Raw genomic sequence first — 25,861 nt, forward strand, 5'->3', positions numbered from 1 at the left:
AAGCTGCCCGCAAAGCCTGCACCTTGGACACCTCGTCTGCACTAACATTTGGGAAATTCTTCTTATTATTTCTCCGGAACATATATATTTACATTCTTTACATGTCTGTTTCACGTTAAAGAAAATATTTCTGGAGCAATCAATTTTTTTTTCCTTTTTTTTTTTTTTTTTCTGAGACGGAGTTTCGCTCTTATTGCCCAGGCGGAGTGCAATGGTGCGATCTCGGCCCACTGCAACCTCCGCCTCCCGGGTTCAAGCGATTCTCCTGTCTCAGCCTCCCAGATAGCTGGGATTAGAGGCATGCACCACCACGCCCGGCCAATTTTTTTTTTTTTGTAGTAGAGACGGGGTTTCGCCATTTTGCCCAGGCTGGTATCGAACTTCTGACCTCAGGTCATCTACCTGCTTCGGCCTCCCAAAGTGTTGGGATTATAGGCGTGAGCCACTGCCCCTGGCTTCCAATTTTTTTTTCCTTTTTTTTCTTTTCTTTTTTTTTTTTTTCTGAGACGGATTTTCGCTCCTGTTGCCCAGGCTGGAGTGCAATGGTGTGATCTCGGCCCACTGCAACCTTTGCTTCCCGGGTTCTGGCGATTCTCCTGCCTCAGCCTCCCGAGTAGCTGGGATTACAGGCATGAGCCACCACGCCCCGCTAATTTTGTATTTTGTATTTATTTATTTATTTATTTTCGTAGATACGTGGTTTCGCCATGTTGGCCAGGCTGGTATCGAACTCCTGACCTCAGGTGATCCGCCCGCCTTGCCCTCCCAAAGTGCTGGGATTACAGGCGTGGCCATCGCGCCCGGCCAAATATTTTTCAAAATCTAATTTTGCATAATGACCAAGATTTGCAGAAAAATACAAATTAAAGAGATCTTTTAAAGTAAAGATTCGTCATAAAAGTCACAGAAATAATACTCATGAATAATAAATTAGAATGGGCAATGTTAAGTACTTGAAATAACAAAGGTTTTAGAGTCAGGGTTTCTGCAGTTTCCCTAGCCATATAACGAGGAGACTGTTAGAGAGGATATCCTAAAATGCTTTCCAAGTTTACCCACCTCTAACTCGGAAGAAGGCAATTTAAACTAATTTGGTTTACCGGAATTCAAATACGTACAATTCAACATAATGAATTGAACTGAAATTGAACACCTGCTTGCGTAAACCTAGTCGGCTCGAGTTGTTCTGGTTCTGGATTGGTCAGTCTAGAGTTCCAGGGGTGTGGCCAAAAGTCTGTGAGGCGGGGCCGTAGGCAGCCTAAATCAGGCATCGGCGCGGTCAGCCTCGTGGCGCGCCCACGCCCCCACGCCGGCTCTTCCCGGGGTCCTTCCGTGCGCGTTGATATGATTGGCCGGCGAATCGTGGTTCTCTTTTCCTCCTTGGCTGTCTGAAGATAGATCGCCATCATGGTGAGTCTCCCTGGGCCCGTGCAGTCATCTGCCGCGTATCCGAGCCATCCGTGGTCCCTGGGTCCCAGTACTTGAGCTATAGGCACGCGAAGCCCGGTTGCTCTTCTCTGGCCGTTTCTGTCAGAGGATGGTTGTCGAGGGGCTCGGGGCTGTTGGCAGGGCGTCCGGGCTGGCGGGCTGCGCTGTAGACCCGGACACGCTGGGCTTCGGGCTCCAGCGCCTGGGCAGTGCAGGAGCTGTTGCGCTTGTTGACTTCGTGGAGCACGGTGGATGGGGGTAGGGGGCGGGCGGGATAGATGGACACTGGGAGGCACATCTCGTCTGCAGTTCCTCATTGGGCTAGGTAGGCGGCTTGCAGGTGATGGCAGTACAAGAGGTGAAGAAGGTGCGGGCAGCGCCTGGGCGAGTTGCGGCAAGTGAAACCATTCCCACGTGTAAGCTAGAAAACTTGTCAGCTGGATGGATCTTCATGTTTCATAGTGGGGAAACAGGCCCTGGAAAGAGATGTTATAAAAAGGTAGTCCTGCCCTAAGTCATGCGTTATTAGCTCCTCCAGCATCCGTTTTTAACTTTACCAGCAATCTTTTTTTTTTCTCCTTACCTTTGATCCGTTACTTTCAAGAATTGAGTACCACTGACGTGGATTTAATTTGGTGTGGTTTCTCAAAGTAAAATGGAGAAAGTCTAGGAAGTTATTTGCTGCCATGAAAGTCTCTTGCGCCTCCTTTTTGGTAAAATTGTTAGCATAAATTGCTTAATGCCCACATTTTTTGTTAGGTATTAAGTAAAGGTGCAGTTCAGTCCTTCAGAAGGGAATATCGTTTTCTCTGATCTCTGCTATGGCCATTCTAGAAGGATAGATTACATGTAGGTAGTGAGTACAAGGTTTGGGGCACATTTGTGCAAGACATGATAAACACAGTTCATTGAGTGACCTTTATATGAGCCACAGCAGTTTTTACCCCAGAGAAGTGATTCTCAACCCGGAGTGATTTTTCTCCTAAGGGAACAGTTGGCTAAGTCTGGAGACATTTTTGATTGTCACAACTGGGAAAGGTGGGAAGTGCTTCCGGCATCTAGTGGTTAGAGGGCTGGGATTTTTATAGTTATTCTAAAACATACAGTCCCCACAACATATCCATATGGAATTATCCATATGGAAATATCAGTAGTGCTGAGGTTGAGAAACCCTGCCCCAGAGATACACATAACCTAGTGAAGTAAGTTGTACAGATTCATGTGTAAAACCATTGTGTTTTCCTGGTATTTTATGTATTCCTTAGGTGTATCCTGTGAGTTTGGCCTTGCCCAGTGGGTTTTATTTACTTTAGTTCGCTACATGACTAATGGCTACAAATTGGACTGCAACATTCTAGGTCTTGGAAAATCACAGCAAGGCCAAGAAAAGTTGGAGTAGTTTTATTAACCAGAGTGTTTATGTTTTCAGAACGACACCGTAACTATCCGCACTAGAAAGTTCATGACCAACCGACTACTTCAGAGGAAACAAATGGTAAGGAAGGGCACATCAATCTTTGCTTAATTGTCCTTTACTCTAAAGATGTATTTTATCATACTGAATGCTAAACTTGATATCTCCTTTTAGGTCATTGATGTCCTTCACCCCGGGAAGGCGACAGTGCCTAAGACAGAAATTCGGGAAAAACTAGCCAAAATGTACAAGACCACACCGGATGTCATCTTTGTATTTGGATTCAGAACTCATTTTGGTGGTGGCAAGACAACTGGCTTTGGCATGATTTATGATTCCCTGGATTATGCAAAGAAAAATGAACCCAAACATAGACTTGCAAGAGTAGGTGTCTTTTCATTTGTTGATCAGCTCCTGAAGACCTATTTTTTCAATAGCGTTGTGTTGTGAGTGTGGTAAAAAGGGCAAGACCAAGCAATCTGGGATACAACTCTGAAAGGATTAAGAGAAAAAGTTATTTCATAAAATGCACAGGTGGAGTACGGGGGTTCAAAATTGAAGTCTGACATTTGAGCTGAGTTCAGAAGGGCAGCTGAAGTAGTGTTCTTGGAGATGGGCTAGGGGTAAGGATTGTTTTCCAGAGGAGAAGTAAGGGGATGTGTTTGGAAAGGTAGCCTGGCACCAAATTCACTTAGTTTGGATTAAGTCTGCATCTGGGCTTAAACCCATAGGTAGTCAGGAACCAGGAAAAGTTTTTGATTGTATACTGAGTGTCAAACACTGCAGAGTGAACTACAGCAGTGATCTGGGCAAGCTCCCCAGCTTACATTCTAGTAAACAAGTAAGCATCATCACCTCGAAGTGCTTGTTTTGTTTGTTCCTTTAACTCACTTTATCCTATCCTGTTAGATAAACCTTCCCATACGATAGCTGTGAGGGAAAATCCTGGTGATGTCATAGGTAGAGGCTGCACTTTTTTTTTTAGAGAGAGAGTTTAGCTCTGTCGCCCAGGCTGGAGTGCAGTGGTACAATCTCCTTGGCTCACTGCAACCTCCGCCTGCCAGGTTCACGCAACTCTTCTGCCTGAGCTTCCTGAGTAGCTGGGATTACAGGTGCGCACCATCATGCCTGGGTAATTTTTGTATTTTTAGTAGAGACTGGGTTTCACCATGTTGGTCAGCCTGGTCTTGAACTCCTGACCTCGTAATCCGCCCACCTCGGCCTCCCAAAATGTTGGGATTACAGGTGTGAGCCACCGTGCCCAGCTGAGGCTGCACTATTTTTAACTGACGTTCGGTCATGTTAAAGGCCTTGCTGAGGTGGTGACATTGAAGCTGAGATCCTTGTAAAGATTTGGAAGTAGTCTTTGTAAAGATACAGAAACAGTCTTGTAGGCCCCAGGAACAGCAAGTGCAAAGGTGGGCAGAGTGGAGATGAGTAGATCCGGAATCTCCATGATGTGGGGGTTGTAAATGCTTGTCTGTCATAAGGGAGTAATGGGGAGTTGAAATGGGAAGAGATCCCCTCAGCCACTTCGGAGGTGCCTTGTTTTGGTAGTGCAAAAGAAGAAAAAATAGTGATCTGTGAGCTCAAGTCTGGACAAGAACAGCCAGTCTCCCAAACTCCCTGTTGAGAGAATGTTGAGTGGACCATTTGTTTCCTGTGAGGCTATTCCATACCTAAAATCCCTTGATGATCCTTTCTGTTCCAGCAAAAACATGCATTAAATGTACTTGAAAAGTTTTGGTTTAGAAAGCTGTGTTTCTTAAGCTCAGACTGGGTCAGTTTCCCTACCAGAGTGGTGGGTAATGATTTTAATGTTTACAAGTCACCTGGATGTACTCTTTTCTCATTCAGCATGGCCTGTATGAGAAGAAAAAGACCTCAAGAAAGCAACGAAAGGAACGCAAGAACAGAATGAAGAAAGTCAGGGGGACTGCAAAGGCCAATGTTGGTGCTGGCAAAAAGGTATAGTTCATTAAGGAAAATATAGAAACGTCATTAATTGTAGGTCTTTAGTTTCTAGGAAAGAAGGGATCTTATTAATTTTTAAAATAACTTTTCTTAATGTTTCTTCTTTTCCCTCTTCTTCTGGATTACAGAAGGTAACATGTTTTAAGAAACTATGTAGCATAGTGTCTTAACACCTCAGTAAAGTAGCTTGGCCCACCCCTTGTCAGCTCACAGCACAATCTGGAGGCCACATTGGTTCATTGATCCCAGCTGGTGGGCACCTTTCAAGCCTATCACAAGAAGTTTTAATTTTACTAATTGGCATAGAACCTTCAATGCAGAGCGGATCCCATTCCCTGTGATTTTACTTATTAATATGGACACTGGTTTAAGAAGCAGTTGGATCAATGTGGCCCGTGTTTTCCTGGCACACTGGAAAGGCAACTGAGATCTCAGGATTGCTTTCCTCTCCAGTTGGCCAAGACAAGTGATTTTAGCGATAAGCAGCTTTTTACCAGCTTTGCTAGCTGTAAATAGTTGGACATTGTAAATCATTGAATAGAATTAAGGTGTTGGGTTGTTAAATTAACAAATAATCAAGTGTTCTGTGAACTTTTTTTTTTTTTTTTTTTTTTTGCTTTTCCTCTCTACTTTCTTGGATTTCTTGTTCATCAGAAATGAAGTGTCTAGCAGGTACTGAGATTGTAAGCACGGTGTGGGGATGCATCACCTTCACTGAGTTTGCTTTGATGATGCTTTGCATGTTGGCCTTTGGACGACAGTTTTATAGTATGGTCGATTATAATGCCAGTGCTATTTAGGCTGGTGCAAAAGTAATTGCAGTGGCAAAAACCACAATTACTTTTGCACCAACCTAATATGTTTTAAGATAGTATATTATGAGCAAAGGAGAAAACGTTTAAAATCATGTTTATTTTGTAAACTCCAAAATGCATGTTACATGTGAAGTGACTCACTGGAGGAAGGTGAGTACTTTACCAAGTAGGCACTTGGGAAATGCTGTGTCCACATACTTAGGAAATGGCTTCAGTTAACACTGGGCTTGGGAAGGGCTCTCTTATCCAAGGAGCAGTCTTCTCTGGAGCCATGAAACCAGCCTGGCAGCACTGGTAATAAACTAGTCTGTGAAATCTGGCAAAGCCTCTGTCCTGTTTGGATATACGCAAAACTGCCTTTTACCATTTCCATTGCTTTTTATTACTTAATCTCCCAACTTTGTGCCTGGTGTCTTTTTTTTTTTTTTTAAAATAGAAAATTTTTGAGGTAATTATGTATTCATATAAAAGTCTTTGGTGGATATGCTTTTTCCCACAAGCACTTGGTTAGAATGGCCCATTACCTCATTTGTTTATTTTTTGAGACAGGGTCTCTTGTCACCCAGGCTGGAGTACAGTGGCATGATCATGGGTTACTGTACCTCCCGGGCTTGGGTGATTCTCCCACCTCAGCCTCCCTTGTAGCTGCGACTACAGGCATGTGCCACCGTGCCCTGCCAATTTTTTGTAGAGACAGGATTTAGCCGTGTTGCTCAGGCTGCTCTTGAACTCCCGGACTTGAGCAGTCTGCTTGTCTAAGCCTTCCAAAGTGCTGGGATTACAGGTGTGAGCCACTGTGCCCAGCCTGTTACCTCATTTAAAACAAATTTTGCACATCTGAACAGCCTAAAATTGTAATGTGATAAGTGGGGTAGGAGTGGGGTGGGCGTAGTGGGATTTTGAATCAATGAAGGCCCTTGTTCTTGTGGCATCCTTTTGCAGTGATTCCCTGCCAGGCAAGGCAGTAAACCTGGGATTGCCTGCCCAGGACTGTAATCACATTGATGTCCCAGCGCCATGGAGTATGTAATGAATGAACTGCCAGCAGAACTACTCACTAAGAACTACTCCCTGTTTGTGAGGATTGTACCTGTTGAGAGAAGTTGCAAAAAGAATTAGTCAAAAGAATTAGTCAAAATTTGTCCTCTGACCTAGGTCTGAAGGACATTTAACACATTGATTGTTCTCTTCATCCAGCCTTTGAGCCCTATGAGTTAGTGCCCTTAGCCTTTGAGTCCCACAGGTATGGAGGAGCTACCTGTGGGGACCTGAGCCATCACTATTCCTGCTTCAAGTTACACTGGTGCCTCTCACTAGCACTGCTCTGAAAAGCCAGCTGGAAAAATCAATGCATTTGAGTACATAAATTCTTTGGCTCCAAAGAAATGCCATAGCAATATTGCTTTTAATTCAGTTTTGTTTAGATGTTAGAATTGGTATTTGTTCTTGCTTTTTGGTTGCGATGGAGTTATATACTAAGTTACTTATACTAAGGCATTAGTAGTCTCATATCTGAGGAGCAATTGTATTTTTAGTTCAGCTAAATTAATGCCTCTTTTTAAATACTAACTTGTACTACTTTTGTGGCTGTGAATGGTATCTTTTATTGAACTGAGGCAGCTTTTAAAAGACTTGCCTGATCATTTAGAGCACTCCCATTGAGGTTAAATTAGACTTGAATCTGTAATGATTCTCGTAACTGTTCCTGGTGTGTGTCCAGCACAATGTTGCTGGGCAGAGCAGAGGGGCAGAGGCTCAGGTATGTACTTCATTGACAAGTGGGCAAGGCCATCCTGGGTACCACATTGGCTTAATGATCTCTTCATTGTGAAGTCCGGCTACCTCGTTTGCATAAGAACTACAGTAATCAGGCAAGGCATTGTCAGAATTGGGAGGAATAAAATCAGTGAGTCTGGAAGGAGTGCTCTGTATACAATTGCAAAGAACAAAATGGTCATCTTTAAGGTACCTGATTGCATGCACTTAAATGCAGATTATTTTGGAGTTTGAAAAGGGACTATTAATGAAATCTTTCTTTTCCCTCCTTTCTCTTTTTCCCTTCCCCGCCACTGATTCAGTGAGCTGGAGATTGGATCACAGGTATAATTCAAGCTTTTCATGTAGTCATGTAGATCACTAGACTCCTTGGTGTACTGACGTAGCAATTTAAAAGCAGATCATGTGTAGTACATCTAGAAGTAGATTTACAAATATTCTGAAGAGTTGTAACCTTTTAAAATACTAACAGTGACATGGTTTTGTTTTTAAGGTTTAGCAATATTTAGCCCATTATTTTTGTTTTATTCTTAACTTGAATGTTTGTAAATTTTATTTCTTGATGCTTTCATTGTGTTATGATAACATCAAAATAACTTGATATTCTAGGTTACTAATAATTGTTGTGCATGAGTGTTACTACTTTTGGAATTGAAGACTTTAAAGAATTTTAAAGGCAGTTGTTGACTAAACTTCTTTCTCTTGATTCACAGCCGAAGGAGTAAAGGTGCTGCAATGATGTTAGCTGTGGCCACTGTGGATTTTTCGCAAGAACATTAATAAACTAAAAACTTCATGTGTCTGGTTGTTTGAAATGTATTTGCAGTTTCCTGGGACTGCTAGGAGGTTAGTCTGCTGATTTCAGTTGCTGTCCAAGTTCACATGCTCCATGAAGCATTCAGTGAAAACTTAATGTCATGGGGTGGTGTTTGTTTGCTGCTTGGTTTATAGCTTAGGTGGGTTCATCTGGGAGTCAAGCTTGTAAATGCTGTGTTAAGAACCATGTCCGCGGTGGACGCAGTGTAGTGGCTCACAGTCATCAGCACTTTTGGGAGGTTTGGGTGGGATGATTACACTTAAGCCCAGGAGCTCGAGGCTACAGTGAGGTGTTTTTTTTTTCGAGACAGGGTCTAGCTTTGTTACCTAGGCTGGTCTTGATTGAACTCGGGCTCAAGCGATCCTCCTACCTTGGCCACATAAAGTACTGGCATGAGCGACCACGTCTGGCTTAGAGTCTAAAAAGTACCATGTCTGGATAAACTGGAGAAATCTCAGGAAGCAGTAGAGAGCTGAAAGACTTGGTTGGGCATGAAGGGGACTCAGGAAAAGCAATACCGTGAAGGCAGAAGGGTTGAGGTTGCAGGAAGGAAGGGTAGTGGAATGTTTTGGAGAAAAGATGGTCACAGCCCCTGCATGGAGCACCTACAGACAGGAGGGCAGGGCTGAGAAGAGTTAAGTCATGGGGCTGGGCCTGCTGGCCAGGGGGTGGTTGGAGTTCTGTTTTCATATCTACAGAGGCTGTGTACTTCGGTTTGTGGGGCCTCTGGCCCTGTAGGTTCTCTTGCTAAGGAATCTGCTACTACTTTGCTAGGACCAGGAAATGGCTTACTAGTACAGAACGTGTGGAAGAATGGGGTCTTTGATGTGATTTGACATTTTTTGATGAACAGTGCATACCAGGCTGAAGGTAATGCTAGGGGCAGCAAAGGTTGGGGTTTGAGATGCAGTTTCCTGTGACTGAGCTGGAGTGTGGAAGCAGAGAAGGCACCCTGTGAGCAGCTTGCAGAGGCAAGGTGGTGAGGATCCTGACAGTGCTGCAGGGATGGGATGGGATGGGATGGGACAGGACGTGGAGCTGGGGGTGGTTGCTAAGTTGATGCAGGGAGAGTGGAAGGAAGCAATTGAGAACTGAAGGGTAGGAAATAGTTTCTGATGTGAAGAAAAAGGGCATAGCTGCAGAGAGCCTGAATGATTGAAGGTTGGCATCAAAGTCACGAAGTGGGGAGGCTTTTCTGTTCAGCTGTGCTCAGGGCAGAAGTTGTAGTCTTTCAGCCAGTAGCCTTGGGAAGGGAGGTGGGATGAAACTCAGGCTTGGCCTATTTTTCCAGAGGATCCACTTGGGTTGTGATATTATAGAAAATGTGGCAGTCTTGCTGTGAGCCTTGTTAGGCATAACATTTGGAAACTTGGCAAATTTTACGTAAAGGTCTGGATTTCCAGCCTCTTGAAATACCAGAAGCAGCAGTAGTAGCCCACCTTCCTGTTTGATAACAATTGGCAGGGCTCCAGGCTGGCTGCATCTGTTGGGACAGGTATTCTCTGGTCTCCACAGCCTTTGCTCCTACGGCCAGCTAACACCCTCCTCTACCTGCCCTCTGGTCTTCTGTCCCTGCTGCCTGCTTCTCTTCCATCTAGTCCATCCAAGTGTTTTTTGGGGAAGTCACCTGGTACCTTGTTAGGGTTAATTTGTCTTTTAAATTGGGCTCCCAAGGGTATCTGCTAGCTACCCTGGCTCACAAGGCTATTTTGAGGCTGAGGATGTAACAACTGTGAAAACAGTTTGGAAACTAGTGCTAAGCAATTGTTTGTCAGGAAGCAGGGACTTGTGGGAACTCAAACTGTGGACAGATTCAGCACATTGTAGGCCCTCACAGTAACCAGGCTACCCTGTGCTGTCAGCAGGCTTTGGAAGAGCCTCCATAAAATGCAAACTTGACTTTACTAAGCTGAATCAATATTGAGGGAGCACATCCCTTCCTTCAGCTTGTCACTGATGGGAAGCTGTGGCTTAGAGAGAGCAGGGATCTTTGAAGAGTGATGAGAAACTCAGCTAGAGGTGGTTCTGGGAAGGTACCTGCAGTGAATATTTGGGGTGCTGCTTTTTAGCTTTTCCTAGCACCACAACCATGAGTTCTGTTTGTAGCTGGATGTGCCTATGTAATCAGGCAGCTTTCAACTCTGCACTCTTCCTTTCTTCCCTGGCAAGTTGCTTATTTTAGGCTGCCCTTAAAGACAGCATCTTACATGGTGCTCTCATGGAGCCGAAACAGGTGCTGTCCTAAACTCTGAACAACGATCTCCATTAATCTGCGCGCGCACACACATACACACATATTTTTTTTGAGATGGAGTCTCACTGTCACCCAGGCTGGAGTGCAGTGGCAGAATCTTGGCTCACTGCAAGCTCTGCCTCACGGGTTCACGCCATTCTCCTGCCTCAGCCTCCCAAGTAGCTGGGACTACAGGTGCCCGCCACCATGCCCGGGTAATTTTTTGTATTTTTAGTAGAGATGGGGTTTCACCATGTTAGCCAGGATGGTCTCGATCTCCTGACCTTGTGATCCGCCTGCCTTGGCCTCCCAAAGTGCTGGGATTACAGGTGTGAGCCACCGTGCCCGGCCTAATCTGCATGTTAACTCCAAGAAGCATGTCTTCCTGGACCCACGCTGGAAAGGGTGTAGAGCAGTTAAGCATCTTACCAGTGTCTCACCCATGAAGTGGTGGGGATGGGATTGGAATGCAGTCATCTGACTCCAAAACACTGCATTTTTTCAGGCACTCCAGTATTAAGCTACTTTGCACTGTGCATATAATGGTATATAAAACTCATGACTGCCAGCAGGGTGCCAGTTGCCATGGGTTTATTGAACAAGTGTTAGATGGCTAGCCAAATTCCCAATTTACTGACCACCTGCTGTGTCCCTGTTCTGCAAGTTGGGGATAAAGAAGCTGTTCTGTCTTGAAAGCTCTGAGGTAGTTAATGACGATCCCATGATCTGGCTTCTGTTCCTTTCTGTGAAGTAGCAGATAGTGTATGACTGTGACGTGATAGAAATTGAGAGCCAAGAAGATCAGTGCAGGGAGGCTGGGTCTTGGAAGGCTTCCAGGAGACATACAGCAGTCCCCACCTATCTAGTTTCAGTTGCTGTCGGTCAACTGCAGTCTGGAAAATTATCATGGCTAAATGGTCTGGGATCACCCAAAAGTGATGATCCTCTTGAAGTGTCATCAGAAGGTCAATAGTAGCCTAACACGTCACCATGCCTACGTCATTTACCTCCCTCTCCCTTCCACATAGGCATTTTATCTCCCATCAAGAATGTGAATACATGTACGTATTCAGAGGAAAAGAGTTCATGCAGCCTACTACAGTATAATTATTAATATCTTACTCCCTAAATTATGAACTTTAATTATGTATATATAGCAACAAACTTGGTGTAGATAGGGTTTGCGGTTTCAGGCATCCACTGGGGGTCTAAGAACGTTTGCCCCATGGATAAGGGAGGATTACTGTAACACCAGCAGTGGCAAGAGACATGATCTGATTTGGATGCACAGGAGAAAGTTCTCATTTGAGGCCATGAAAAATAGGAAAGAAAGCAGGGAGATGGGAGCAGGCAGTGTGGGACAAGGTGAGACCAGTCATTCTGCAAGGGGAAGAGAGGATGACACTGGGGAGGTGGGAGCAGAGTGGGTAGGTAGGCATTCTCTTGAATCAACAAGATGGAAGGCCCTACATGACTGATGCCTTTGAGCAGAGTTTTGCACAATGCATTTCTGGTGGGAGATACTCCATTTCAAAAATAGTCTTCAGGTTGGCTGCTAGAGCACAGAAGTATGACACCTGACTCATTTGTGCTGGCAGAGAGGCTCTCCTGGGTTTTAGAGCTTTGTGAACACACCTCCATACATTAATCCAACTGTCCTTCCCCATCCACTCACCCTTGAACTTCCCGCATGCCAGATGTTGAGGGGAGGCAGAAATGAGACCTGCCTCCCAGTGCCCACAGTCTGGATGAGAGGGTACAGGTGAGGTCCTGGTAAGAAACGAAGCTGGAGAGGTCAGCGGAGAATAAATCAGGGAGGATCTTGTATGCCAAGCTAAGGATTTCACTTGTTCAGTGTTTTGGTTAAAGAAAATAAAACGTTGGAGAATTAGATGTTCTGCAGTGGATTGTGTGTTCTTTTCACATGCCGAGTTCCTCCACACAGGAAATACTTTGGCAACGCTCTGGCTGCTCATCATGCATATTGGAGAGGGAATTTATGTAGAAGGTTATGGGTCGATGAGATGGCATCCAAGTATTTATCGTATTTTTTTGAGATGGAGTTTCACTCTTGTTGCCCCGGCTGGAGTGCAATGGCACGACCTCAGCTCACTGCAACCTCCGCCTCCTGGGTTCAAGCAATTCTCTGCCTCAGCTTCCCGAGTAGCTGGGATTACAGGCATGTGCCACCATACCTGGCTAATTTTGTATTTTGTAGTAGAGACGGAGTTTTTCCATGTTGGTCAGGCTGGTCTTGAACTCCTGACCTCAGGTGATCTGCCCACCCCGCCTCCCAAAGTGCTGGGATTACCGTCGTGAGGCACCGCGCCTGGCCCCAAGTATTAATAACTCGGAAAAAGGGACCAGATCAGGAATCAGGAGTCACAGTTCCTGATCTCCACTCAGCTTACAATCAGCTGGGGCCATGGATGGGCAAAAGACTTCCCTTTTCTGGGCTTCTATTTCCCTCCCTGTGTCTGTCTGCTATCCGGGCTAGATGAGTAATTCCGAAACCTGGCAGGTGGGGGCTTTCTTTTTTTCTTTTTGTGAGATGGAGTGTTGCTTTGTCACCCAGGCTGGGGTGCAGTGGCACTGTTTTGGCTCACTGCAACCTCTGCCTCCTGAGTTCAAGCGATTCTCCTGCCTCAGTCTTCTGAGTAGCTGGAACTACAGGCGCCTGCCACCATGCTTGGGTAATTTTTTGTATTTTTAGTAGAGATGGGGTTTCACCATGTTGGCCAGGCTGGGGGCTTGTTAAAAATACAAATGCTGGCTGGGTGTGGTGGCTTATACCTGTAATCCCGGCACTTTGGGAGGCTGAGGCGGGTGGATCACTTGACGTCAGGAGTTCGAGACCAGCCTGGCCAACATGGTGAAACATCTCTACTAAAAATACAAAAATTAGCTGGGCGTGGTGGTGCGTGCCTGTAATCTCAATTACTCAGGAGGTGGAGGCACGAGAATTGCTTGAACCCAGGAGGCGGAGGTTGCAGTGAGCCGAGACCATGCCACTGCACTCCAGCCTGGGTGACAGAGCGAGGCTCTGTCTCAAAAACAACAAATGCCCAGCCTCTTGCCCCAGTTTTCAGAGTTAGTAGATCTGGGTAGCGCCCAAGCACCTGATGTTTTAATAGCTTCCCAGGTGAGGCTGCTTCAGGAAACTGGACTGAAGCTTCCCAGGTGAGCTCAGGCTTGGGAAGCTGGACTGAAGTTTCTCTAAGATCCGTTCTGCCTCTGAGAATTCTGTCTCTAATGGGAATACTGTCTCTGCCCTCAAGAAGCTGGCAGATGAACAGTAATACTATTGCTAATTAATGACCACAGAATAGCTAACATTTATTGTTTACCATGTGCCAGGTACTGAGCTAAGTCTTGCACAAATTATCTCATTTACCTTTTTTTTTTTTTTTTTTTGAGAATGAGTCTCGCTCTGTCACCCAGGCTGGAGCTCTGGATTGCACCAGTGGCGCAATCTCAGCTCACTGCAACCTCCACCTTCTGGGTTCAAGTGATTCTCCTGCCTCAGCCTCCATAGTAGCTGGGATTACAGGTGTGTACCACCACACCTGGCTAATTTTTGTATAGTAGAGACAGGGTTTCTCCATGTTGGCCAGGCTGGTCTTGAACTCCAGACCTCAGGTGACCCACCTGCCTCAGCCTCCCAAAGTGCTGGGATTACAGGCATGATCCACTGCACCTGGCCTCATTTACCTGCACTCGGAGGGAAGTACTATTACCCCCATTTTATAGATGAGGAAATTGAGGCTCAAAGAGGTTAAGGAACTTGGTTAAAGTTACACAACTATGGCATCCTATGATAAGCCTGGGGGCATTTGTGGAACATCTTGCCAAGGAGCTAGAAATGGTCCTGAGCCTTAAATGGGTGGAGGTGATTAGCTGAGGCAGCGATTCTCCAGGTGTGGTCCTGGACAGCAGCAGCAGTGTCACCAGGGAACTTGCTAGAAATTCAATTTCTTGGGCTCCACCCTAGAATTACTGAATCAGAAGCTGTGGGTGGGGCCAGGTAACCTGTTTTTTTTTTTGAGTTGCCCAGGCTGGAGTGCAGTGGCGTGATCTTGCTTCACTGCAACCTCCGCCTCCTGGGTGCGATTCTCCACCTCAGCTTCCTGAGTAGCTGGGACTACTGGTGCCTGCCACCACGCCTGGCTAATTTTTTTTTTTTTTGTACTTTTTAGTAGAGATGGGATTTCACCATGTTGGTCTGGCTGGTCTTGAACTCCTGACGTCAGGTGATCCGCTGGCCTCGGCCTCCAAAAGTGCTGGGATTATAGGTGTGAGCCACCGCGTCCAGCCAGAACCTGTGTTTTGATAAGCTCTCCAGGTGATTCAGATGCATGCTAAAGTTTGAGAACCACTGAGCTTAGGGAAGGGGAGGATATTCCAGAGGGGGACAGCTGTGGAGACCCGGTAGGACAGTGCTGTAGACTGCCCCATCCCTGCCTTTTCACTTGGTGAAATAAAGACGTGTGATGCACTATGCAGACTCCCACAAGGGGGCACTGTGGGCACAGACGTGGAAGCGGTCTGCTTTGTTGTCAAGACCGCTACCCTTGTGGAAGCATGAAAAAAGCTTGATGCCAGATCAACTGGAGAGGTCACTCTTTCTTCTCAGAGAAGGTCTAATGGGGGTGGTAATCTTGTTTATAGGATTCGGCCCTCGTAGGGAAGCTGAACCTGGAGGGCTTTCTGCTGTTCATATGTGCATGGTGATGTCTACCCATCCGTGCTGCGAGGTCTCTGCAGATCCTGTGCAAACAGCATTCCCCCTTTTGTAGCTGCCCAGCCAGGCAGCTTGCGGTTTCTATTGGGGGAGGTGGGGGCCGAAGGCTGGGAACCCCAGCAGCCCGATTCTGCTTCAGCCTTCTGCCTACAGTGCTATGCCTCTGTCCTATTCTTTGACAAGCATGGGTCCGGGGCCACAGTGCTGGGTCCAAGACCTGTTTTCAAGCCTTAGCTCTGCCCCACCACACTTTAAGATCTCTGGCAAGACCCCTTTCTCCTCTGGGTCTCAGTTTCCTACACTGTAGGATGAGAGAGTGGTGCTGAGAAAGTGGCTGTCAACATCTCTTTCCACTATAAAATTCTGCCCTGGGAGTTGAGGAAGAGACTGCCTTGTGCTTTTCAAGGACCTCGGATTGCAGGGGATCTGTAAACCCTGCTACATGACATCCATCTCCAGTAGCCACTTAAGGAAGCATTTCCAGGGATATGGTGCAAGTCAGTAAGGTGGAATCTCTCAAACAAGATTTTTTAAAAAGTCCATATCTTCAGACATCCAGAATTTGCTTTTATAGGTTTCTATTCTGCACTGTTTGGAAGAAGGAAAATTTATACCATGTTCTCTTTTCTGCTGCAGTGTGTATTTCTTCCAAAAATACATTGCCTCGGAGGGTCTTTGGCATTCACCTCGTTAATCCAGGGATTGGCATCCTATACTCTCGGTGACTGCTCACCCAGCTGAGCCACTGCTCTGCCTGGGCAGGAAATCTCCAGAACTGCCTTTTCAGAGCGCTATAGATGTGCTCATCCCTGGGTTATAAGGGGATTCAAAAGAGTGGTCCAGCCCTCTGCTGGCTCCCACCGTCGATGATGATATTCAGAGAGTCTGGTTAGAAATTGCCCAACCCAGCCGCGTGCGGTGGCTCACGCCTGTAATCACGTTGGGAGGCCAAGATGGGCAGATCACAAGGTCAGGAGTTCGAGACCAGCTTGGTCAATATGGTGAAACCCCGTCTCTACTAAAAACACAAAAATTAGCCGGGCATGGGGGCATGCACCTGTGGTCCCAGCTGCTCAGGAGGCTGAGGCAGAAGAATCGCTTGAACCTGGGAGAGGGAGGTTGCAGTGAGCCGCGATTGCACCACTGCACTCCAGCCTGGGCGACAGAGCGAGAGTCCATCTCAAAAAAAAAAAAAAAAAAAAAATTGCCCAACCCATAGGCAAACATTGTTAACTGCAGCTGTCCTTGGTGGAGGAAACAAGTTAAACATGATGTCTCTTTCCATCAGGCCTCCTTGGAGCGGGGAAGGAGAGCTCTTCAGTTCCTTTGGCACCTTCACGCAGCATGCAAGACGGGCTGCTTTTTCTTCTGTTTATGGATGAGGCACAGAGGGTAGATGACTTGCCCCAAGTCCTTCAGCTCATTCATGCTGGGGAAAGGAGTAAGCTTCAGGCGTCTTCCCCTGGAGTTCACGCCACCTCTGACAGCAAGTGAGCCGTTTGCTACTCAAGTGCTGTTTCTTGCTTTTTTAAGGTAACAAAACACTGCATGCTGTCTGGGGTACCTTTTCCCTGCTGTTCAGTTCATTGCCCTGTGTCGTCTCACAGAGCGTGTCACTGGTACAGAAATGTTCCCTGGGAAGCTAGAGTTGAAACATCGCCCACTGGTGCTCCTGAGCTGGCTTTGTCATGGGTTTAGAGGGTATGTTAGGGAGGAGGCCTTCTGCTGCAAGTCTCTGAGAAGTCAGCTTACACTGCCTTGAACAGTGAGGTTGCTTATTAGCTCCTGTAAGAACCCCCTGGATGCCCAGGAGCCTTCAGGGTTGGTGGACACTGCAGTTTAACAGCGTCTTCGAGGGCCTAGACGTTTTCTCTCTCCACTTTGCTGCCAATGCTGGTGCCATTCTGAGGGATAGTTGCCCATCACAGTGGGGCTGGGACTGGGTGAGGCAATGAAGCGCTTAGCATGTGAAATCCAAGGAGGTCTTCACCCACAGTGGTGCTAGTGCAAGGTCAGCATCTCCTTGACCCTAAGAGCACCTTGCCCTAGTACTGGGGCCTGTGGGAGGCCACCCACTCTCCACAAAGGCCAGACCAGAAGTCACCTGTGTTTTTTCTGCTCCTCTTCCATCGGCTGGGACTTAGTCTCCTGCAACACCTAATAACTGTGAGGTGGGCTGGGAAATATAGGCTTGTTCCAGCTCAGGCAGATGTGGGAGCACAGTTTTGGGGGACAATGACCAGTCTTTGCCACAGCAGGAAGAAAATGGTTGCTTCATAGGGATCCTTTCAGCAGAAACCTCCCAGCAAAAGGGGGAAGTTTACTGGGAAGCTGTGGGTGATCTAACAAAGCCAAAAGGTAGGCGGTGCTGGCAGCCTCCCTGGATTTGGGTCTGGAAAATCATTTCAGAACAAATCAGCTCTTCCTTCTCCCCTCCTTCCTCCTTCCCCCTCTTTGAGTCTATGCCTCTCTCTCTCTCTCTACAGGCTGGCTTTTCTTTGTTCCCCTTTCTGCCCCATGGCTGCCACAACCAGGATTTTATTGCTCCCCATTCCAAACTTCCGGCCAGATTAGTTAGACCTGCATCCTCCTTGCCACTTCCCAGGGACAAGATGCTGACTGGTCTGTCAGCTCATGGAGCCCACTCCCACTTACCTGGGGCTGAGGAGCACCTGCTGGGAAGGTTTGAGGGCAGGAGGGCTGCTGATGTATCCAATGCAGCCACCACTCCCACCGCTGAGACATCTGTCTTTCTTTCCTTCTTGTCACTCCCAGACCTCAGCAAGTGGCCGCTTTAAAAAGAGAATAAGAGCTTTATTGAGGTTTAATTCACAGACCATATATTCACCCTTGTAAAGTGTGCAATTCAATGGGTTTCAATGTATTTGCAGAGTGGTGCAACCACCACCACCACCTAATTTTTAAACATTTTGATTTTTATTTGGTCTCACTCTGTCACCCAGCCTGGAGTGCAGTGATGTGATCATAGCTCGTTGCATCCTCGAACTCCTAGGCTAAAGTAATTCTTCCACTTCAGCCTCCCACATAACTAGGACTACAGGTGCACAGCACCAGGCCCAGCTACTTTTTTTTTCTTTTTTTTTAGTTTTTGTAGAGACAGAGTCTCTACATTATGTTGCGCCTCCTGGCCTCAAGCTATCCTCCCACCACACCTATTCATTTTTGATCATTTTTATTATGCCAAAAAGAAACCCTTAGCCCGGCAGGTGTCTCATGCTTATAATCCCTGCACTTTGGGAGGCTGAGGCGAGCAGATCACCTGAGGTCAGGCGTTCGAGACCAGCATGGCCAACCTGGCAAAACCCTGTCTCTACTAAAAATAAAAAATTAGACGGGCATGGTGGTGAGCACCTGTAATCCCAGCTACTTGGGAGGCTAAGGCAGGAGAATCCCTTGAACCTGGAAGGCAGAGGTTGCAGCGAGCTGAGATTGCGCCACTGCACTCCAGCCTGGGCAACAGAGTGGGTGAGACTCTGTCTCAAACAACAACAAAAAGAAACCCTGTAGACATTAGCAGTCTCTCCCTATTTCCCTCAACCTCTGCCCCAGCCCCTGGCAACCACAAATCTGTTTTCTGTTTTTATAAATTTGTCTATTCTGGAAACTTCATATAAATGAAATCATATAGTGTATATAGGTTTTTATGACCGGATTCTTTCACTCAGCCTAATGTTTCCGTGCTATGTCCACACCGTAGCATGTATCAGTAATTTATTCCTTTTAATTACCAAGTAACATTCCCTTGTGTGGATTTACCACGTCAACATCAGTTGATGGATATTTGTGTTGTTTCTGCTTTTTGGCTATTCTGAATAATTTTGCAGCTATGAAAATTCATGTGCAAGTTTTTGTGTGGATGTTTTCACTTCTCTTGGGTATATACCTCGGGGTGGAATTGCTGGGCCTTATGGTGACTCTCTGGTTAACTGTTTTCCACAGAGGCAGCACCATTTTATGTTCCCACCAGCAATGTACGAAGGTTCTAATTTCTCCACATCCTTCCTGACACTTGTTATTATCTGTACTTGATTTTAGCCATGCAAGTAGGTATGAAGTGGTATCTCATTATGGTTTTGATTTGCATTTCATAATAACTAATGGTGTTGAGCATCATTTCATCTGCTTATTGGCTGTTTATATGTCTTCTTTAGAAAAATGCCTGTTTGAATCCTTTGCTTATTTTCAAATGGGGTGATTTGTCTTTTTATTGTGTTGTGTTAGTTTATATATCCTGGATGCAAATCTCTTATCAGATATATGGTTTGCAAATATTTTCTCCTATTCTGTGGATTGTCCATTTTTAAAATTTATTTATTTATTTATTTATTTTGAGACAGGGCCTTGCCCTGTCGCCCAGGCTGGAGTACAGTGGCTTGATCTCGGCTCACTGCAACCTCTGCCTCCCAGGTTCAAGCAATTCTCGTGTCTCAGCCTCCTGAGTAGCTGGGATTATAGGCATGCACCACCATGCCTGGCTAATTTTTGTATTTTTAGTAGAGACGGGGTTTCACCATGTTGGCCAGGCTGGTCTCGGACTCCTGGCCTCAAGTGATCCACCTGCCTAGGCCTCCCAAAGTGCTGGGATTACAGGTGACCGCCACCACCCCCGGCTTAGTTCTTGGTTTTTCTGTCCTTGGAAACTGCTGTCAGGGTTCCCGAGAGACTTTGAATGTAACAATAATACCTTCCTTTTATTGAGTGCCTACTATTCACTGTGTTGGGCACATTGTATATATTACCTTTTGTCCTGGAAATAGTTTTACAAGGTGGGGATTATTGTCCCCATTTCATAGTGTGATGAGGATGCTAAAAAAAAGCAAATGTTGCCTCTAGCTGCCGCCATGGGAGGTAGGCACCTGGAGCGAAGGCACGGCAGGTTCTGCTCTGCCCTATCTCCCTTTGGACCCCTTCTAGGGGTTATGTTGGATTTGGAAGCCACGAGGAGGAGTCTACTCAGACAAGAGCATCCTGATGGGGGCTGCCTTGAGATGATGGGGTGTAAGCCCTGTTTAGCTGGAAATGAGGAGAGAGAGACGTACCCTTGGTCAAGGGCTATCATGTGAAAGAAGGGTAACATTTGTCCTGGAGTGTGGAGTGTGAAGCATATGGGGAAATGGTTTGGGCTGGATAGCAGGCAGTTTTTAAAACTTGGAGCAAGCCGGGCGCAGTGGCTCATGCCTATAATCCCAGCACTTTGGGAGGCCGAAGTGGGTGGATCACCTGAGGTCAGGAGTTCGAGACTGTCCTTACCAATATGGTGAAATCCCACCTCTACTAAAATACAGAAGATTAGCCAGATGTGGTGGAGGGCGCCTTGTAATCCCAGCTGCTTGGGAGCCTGAGGCAGGAGAATCGCTTGAACCTGGGAGGTGGAGGTTACAGTGAGCTGAGATTGTGCCATTGCGCTTCAGGCTGGGCAACAAGAGTGAAATTCCGTCTCAAAAAAACAAACAAAAACAACAACAACAACAACAAAAAAAAAAAAAGAAAAGAAAAAAACCTCGGAGCTAATGGAAGGGGCCTGCCCCCTGGGAAGCAGCAAGCTTCCTGTTGCTGGTGGTACACAAGCAGAGCCTGGCTGCTTTCTAGGTGAGGTGGTTGTAGAAGCTCTTTGGGTTCAGAGTCCTGGGGGGGTTTTAGGGTTTCCTTGAATGCCCAGAGCCTGTATGTCATAGCTTCTGATTTCACAGGGACTTCCTGTCCACGCAGCTGGGATCTCTCCCAGCCCAGATTCATCATGTCTCACCCATCCTGAGGGCTAAATTTGGAATTTAATAACAACACTTTGGATTTATGTGGCCCGTTTCCTTGGAGGCATTACATCTGTTATCCCATTAATTCTCCTAATATCTTTGGGTGGAAGGTGAGGGAAGGTGAGGGAGCCTGAGAGGGGAGAAGGAACCTCTTTGGCTTCTTCAGCTCCTGAAGGGGAGAGGAAATGGCAGAGCAGGAGCGGGCCGGGGATGGGGGAACGTCTGCACCACAGCCCCTCTGGCTTTCCCCTCTCATAAAAAGCAGGTTGCTCACCGGATGAAGGGGTGTCTCCCAGCAGGAAGCTCCTGTGTTGGGCACAGTATATTGGTGCATAAGTCTCCAGGTGGACTCTTTGAGGGCTGGAAGTGGGTAGACATCAAGGTGGGCAAGATGAAGCCTGAGCCCTAAGCTTGGGAGGAGACCAACATGTCTACCACGAACCAATTTGCAGAGCTGGATGGTCTGGAGGAAGCAGTATGGCTTCCTGGGGAAGGGGGATTTGAGCTGAGTTTGGAAAGAGTCCTGGAGCACCCTGGAGTCCAGTTTCCTACCTCCTAGTCACGTGGTGTGGGTGAAGGCCATACCTTGGTGAGCTTTCCCAGGGTATGGGGGTGCCTAGGGTGCTCCTCAAGATCCTAAGGCTTGGCCTGGAGTGCTGTTGGGCGAATGGCCAGAGAGTCTGGGCAGGCAGAGGAGGGCTGGGGACTAGTGCAGGGAAGGAGCCGCTGGCACTGGCCATGAAGAAGGAGTGGGAAGGGAAGGGAAGGGTGGCCCAGGTGGAGGGCTCTGTGGGGCAGAGGCAGATTGGTGTGGGGGTTCTTGTCTACTCCAGACTATGCTGTTTTCATTCCTGCCTCTGTTCTGAGGCTTGAACTCCTGCAGGTACCTGGCTTTTACAGCCCTCCCAAGTGCCCTTCCTTCAAGCTTTGGCTCTGACTGCTGCTGATCTTCCCTGGTACCAAGTGAGGGAGGTGCAGAATCCCAGGCCACAGGCGCAGAACAGGGCGGCTGGAAGGCACCTGGACAATCCTCTGAGACTATTCTCTCCTTCCCGCTTTTGCAGATGAGGGAATTGGGGCTTGGAGTGCAAGCATTGGGAAGAATTTCCCAGGAAGAGAGATGCACAGATGTGAAGAACTCGAAGGCAAGAGAAAGCCGGGGGGTTGTGTGGCAGGTAGAAGTGCCAGGACCGTGGAGCGTGTGGACATGTGGCAGATTGCGGAGGGGCTGTGGCAAGTATTTACAGGTGGCCGTTACCTGGAGGAAGACTGAAAACAGAGAACAGTGCTGCCAGGCGTGCCTTTTGGAGAGGGCACTGGTCAGAAACGGAGCCTTCATGTCGCCTGCCTCACCTGCTCCTGCTGGTTCTCCCCACCCTGTGGACGGTGACTTGGTCCTCCACTTGCCAGAAGCCTTGTCAGCAACCTTGACTCTGTCACCCCACATCCAGGCCATCAACAAGTCTTTTGGCCCTTTCTTTGAAATCCACCAGGAATCCAGCTGCTTCTCCCCACCTTCCTGCCTCTCTGGTCTGGGCCACTAATGTCACTGCCATGGCCGCCTTGCTGCATTTCTGAGGATGCTTCATCTCTCCACCTTCTTCTCCACTCAGCAGCCAGCAGGGCACTGTGGAAATCGGAGTCACATGAGCTGGCACCTCTGTTCAGAACCCTCCAGGGCTCCACATCTCTCTCACCCAAATGCCAAAGACCTCCCCACGCCCCCACAATCCCCCACGACCTGGCCACTGGCCTCCCACCACCTTCCAGCTCCAGCGGCTCCTACCACATTTAAGGCTTTCCTTCCTAGTTTTAATTTTTCCTCGTCAGCAGTTGATTTTATTATTTTCTTGTTTATTGGTATTTTCCCACTAGAAATGAAGCTGCGTGAAGTTAGAGATTTTTTTTTTTGGTCTGTGTTCCTAATTAGCTCATTGCTATACCCCTGGCGCCCAGAACAATGCCTTGGACACAGTACGCAGTAGACTAAATAAATACTTGTTGAATGACTGACTGACGGAATGACGGCTGTGTGGGGAGTGGATTGGGTCGTGAGGCAGAGGCTGCGGTGGAAACTCAGGCAGGAGGTGATGGTGGTTCTTGGGGCTGCGGAATGCCAAGTTTAGAAGCTCTTCCTCTGCTGTGGCACATGAACCGGTCACTCGAGAAGGCTTTTAGATTTACTTTGCCTAATCCCCTCTTAGTGCATGTGGGGAAACTGAGGTACACAAAAGGAATTCCCCACCAAGTTAGGGGCAGAACCTAGCCCCCTTGTCTCCCAGATGGATATCTTCTTTTTTTTTTGAGACGGAGTCTTGCTCTGTTGCCCAGGCTGGAGTGCAGTGGTACCATCTTGGCTCACTGCAACCTCTGCTTCCCAGGTTCAAGCGATTCTCCTGCCTCAGCCTCCTGAGTGTCTGCGATTACAGGTGCACACAACCACGCCTGGCTAATTTTTGTATTTTTAGTAGAGACGGGGTTTCACCGTGTTGGTCAGGGTGACCTCAAACTCCTGACCTCATGATCCACCCAGCTCAGCCTCCCAACGTGCTGGGATTACAGGCATGAGCCACCGTGCCTGGCTGGACATCTTGTTATTAAAGCTTCTTCTCTCTTTGTAGGGGAGGGGGAGATGCCTCTGGTGGAGAAGACCAGTGTGGCAGTGACTGTGTCTGTTAGTGAACCTGGTGGCTGGTTGAGGGTCTGTCGTGGTGACTGAGGACACATACAAAGTGCTTTTCTCAGTGGTCACCTTGGTGTTGGTGAATAAGGGTCAGAAGATGGCTCCTGTCCTAGGGCACTGCCAGTCGGTTTGGAAGCTGAAATGCCTGCTTAGCAGTTTGAGGAAACACAGACCTTGGAGGATCTTCTGGTTGCCTCTTCAAGAATTCATTCTATTCCCCTTCTGCTCCCCAAATTTGCTTTTCTTGGGGTGGGTCTTGGTTGGCCTAAGCCAAGAAAGTATGGCATCTACTCCTTCCATAGCAATAGCTCAGGAATAGGCAGTGACCCAGACCTGAACCAATCAGTGCATGGAATTACCCCTGGCCAAAGTGGTTGATTGAGGCTGGGTGCAAGCAGAGTTGTGAGAAGGCTCCCATTTGGTGGTTGGAGAGATCGCACTTGCTCCAGAGGTCATAATGTGCAGATCTGAGGCTTGGAACTGCTGCAGACATTTTGCTACCACAAGTGAAGCCACCCTGACGACACAGTTGACAATTTGGAGCAGGGCAGAGCTGAGAGAACAGCAGGGAAACAGCCAGAGTCTTGCTCAAGCCTCCCTGAAGTATCTATACCCCTGGACTCTAGTTATGGGGGCTAATAAATGTTATATACTGTTTAAGGTAGTTTGAGTTGGTTTATCTGTCATTCGTTATTGAAAAAACATTTTTTTTTCGGCTGGGTGTGGTGACACACACCTGTAGTCCCAGCTGCTTGGGAGGCTGAGGCAGGAGGACCGCTTGAGCCCAGGAGGCAGAGGTTGCAGTGAGCTGAGATAGTGCCACTGCACTCACTCTGGCAACAGAGCAAGACTGTCTCAAAAAGAAAAGAAAAAAAAATTTCCATTTTCATCAAAAATTGTATTAAAGATTTTCTATGTGGTGGGTTCTATAATATATTCTTATAGGGAATAAGACCTATATTATCCTTCCCCTCCGAGAGCAATGAAAAAAACACAAATACTGAGGTGGGCAGATCACTTGAGCTCAGGAGTTCGAGACCAGCCTGGGCAACATAGTGAGGCCTGTCTCTATTAAAAAACAAAAAGAAAAGAAACACAAATATCACACATAATTATAGACAAACACATAGCCAAGTTGAGGAAGAACAGAAACAAAACCAAAACAGTTTTTCTGGGCTGATCACTGATCAGATAGAGATCATTTACTTGCCTGGCCTTTGCTCTAAAGATCTGGTTTCATGTTGGTTTTCTCCATGTTACTCATGAACCCCAGGAATTCTGGAAAATTCTTACCTTTCTAAGATCAAGAGTAGGTGTAGCAGTAGGAGCACTTTGAGTGTCAGGGTGACAGAGCCCAGAGGCAAGGCCCATCTGCAGGAAGCGAAGTGACAAGTTGCTGGGTGGCCCCTTGTGTGATCCTAGCATTGTCAAGGAAGAAATCTTAACTGATATTTGGGTGATAGGGAATCATGGGGAAGTGTGGGTGTGGATGGGGACAGCCAGAGACAGATGTGACTATTTTTTTCTTTTTCTTTCTTTTTTTTTGGAGGCAAGGACTCACTCTGTTGCCCAGGTGGGAGTGCAGTGGCTTGATCAAAGCTCACTGCAGCCTTGACCTCCTGGGCCCAAGTGATCCTCCTACCTCAGGCTCCTAGGTAGCTGGGACCACAGGCGTGTGCCACCATGCCTGGCTAAAATACATATATATATGTGTGTGCGTATATATATAAAATATATATGTGTAAATATATAAAATACATATGTACATATATTTTATATACTTATATATAAATATATACAATATATATGTACTATATATATTTTATATATATATATATATATTTCTTTTTGAGTCAAGGTCTTGCTCTGTCACCCAGGCTGGAGTGTAGTGGTGTGATGATGGCTCACTGCAGCTTCAACCTCCTGGGTTCAAGAGGTACTCCTGCCTTGCCTCCTGAGTTGCTGGGACCACAGGCACACACTACCACACTTGGCTAATTTGTTTTTCCTATTTTTTGTAGTGACAGGGTCTCCCTGTGTTGTCCAGGCTGGTCTCGAACTCCTGGACTGAAGCAATCTTCCCACCTCGGCCTCCCAAAGTGCTGGGATTACAGCCGTGAGCCACCACATCCAGCCAGCTAATTGTTTTTTATTTTTGTAGAGAGGTGATCTCCCTTTGTTGCTCAGGCTGGTCTCGAACTCCTGA

The 25,861-nt window shown here is 47.0% G+C and overlaps 1 protein-coding gene across 6 annotated transcripts, besides 7 other annotated features; it reads left to right on the forward strand.

Annotated features, from left to right (window-relative positions):
• Nucleotides 1,169–1,698: an enhancer, noted in NCBI's record as "active region_3613". NCBI's record gives its function as "activates an Ori minimal core promoter by ATAC-STARR-seq in GM12878 lymphoblastoid cells {active_cell/tissue: GM12878}" and the evidence as "EXISTENCE:reporter gene assay evidence [ECO:0000049][PMID:35858748]".
• RPS24 (ribosomal protein S24) lies at nt 1,369–24,312 on the forward strand. Of its 6 annotated transcripts, NM_001142283.2 has the most exons (8): nt 1,369–1,410; nt 2,858–2,923; nt 3,017–3,226; nt 4,700–4,810; nt 4,945–4,947; nt 5,471–5,488; nt 7,710–7,731; nt 8,121–8,203. In NM_001142283.2, the coding sequence occupies exons 1-6, from the start codon at nt 1,408–1,410 to the stop codon at nt 5,474–5,476; spliced, it is 399 nt and encodes a 132-aa protein (NP_001135755.1). In that variant the 5' UTR covers nt 1,369–1,407; the 3' UTR covers nt 5,477–5,488; nt 7,710–7,731; nt 8,121–8,203. The 6 variants fall into 6 exon arrangements, with proteins under 6 accessions (NP_001135755.1, NP_001135754.1, NP_001135756.1 ...); NM_001142282.2 differs by lacking the exon at nt 5,471–5,488; NM_001142284.2 differs by lacking the exon at nt 4,945–4,947.
• Nucleotides 6,895–7,406: an enhancer, noted in NCBI's record as "OCT4-NANOG hESC enhancer chr10:79799147-79799658 (GRCh37/hg19 assembly coordinates)". NCBI's record gives its function as "activates a minimal SCP1, AML or CMV promoter by ChIP-STARR-seq in primed H9 embryonic stem cells {active_cell/tissue: H9 hESC(primed)}" and the evidence as "EXISTENCE:reporter gene assay evidence [ECO:0000049][PMID:30033119]".
• Nucleotides 7,407–7,916: an enhancer, noted in NCBI's record as "OCT4-NANOG hESC enhancer chr10:79799659-79800168 (GRCh37/hg19 assembly coordinates)". NCBI's record gives its function as "activates a minimal SCP1, AML or CMV promoter by ChIP-STARR-seq in primed H9 embryonic stem cells {active_cell/tissue: H9 hESC(primed)}" and the evidence as "EXISTENCE:reporter gene assay evidence [ECO:0000049][PMID:30033119]".
• Nucleotides 8,237–8,738: an enhancer, noted in NCBI's record as "H3K27ac hESC enhancer chr10:79800489-79800990 (GRCh37/hg19 assembly coordinates)". NCBI's record gives its function as "activates a minimal SCP1, AML or CMV promoter by ChIP-STARR-seq in naive H9 embryonic stem cells {active_cell/tissue: H9 hESC(naive)}" and the evidence as "EXISTENCE:reporter gene assay evidence [ECO:0000049][PMID:30033119]".
• Nucleotides 8,807–8,856: an enhancer, noted in NCBI's record as "active region_3614". NCBI's record gives its function as "activates an Ori minimal core promoter by ATAC-STARR-seq in GM12878 lymphoblastoid cells {active_cell/tissue: GM12878}" and the evidence as "EXISTENCE:reporter gene assay evidence [ECO:0000049][PMID:35858748]".
• Nucleotides 10,137–10,246: an enhancer, noted in NCBI's record as "active region_3615". NCBI's record gives its function as "activates an Ori minimal core promoter by ATAC-STARR-seq in GM12878 lymphoblastoid cells {active_cell/tissue: GM12878}" and the evidence as "EXISTENCE:reporter gene assay evidence [ECO:0000049][PMID:35858748]".
• Nucleotides 15,076–15,135: an enhancer, noted in NCBI's record as "active region_3616". NCBI's record gives its function as "activates an Ori minimal core promoter by ATAC-STARR-seq in GM12878 lymphoblastoid cells {active_cell/tissue: GM12878}" and the evidence as "EXISTENCE:reporter gene assay evidence [ECO:0000049][PMID:35858748]".

Source organism: Homo sapiens, chromosome 10 (genome assembly GCF_000001405.40).
Source record: "Homo sapiens chromosome 10, GRCh38.p14 Primary Assembly".
Taxonomy (NCBI): Eukaryota; Metazoa; Chordata; class Mammalia; order Primates; family Hominidae; genus Homo; species Homo sapiens.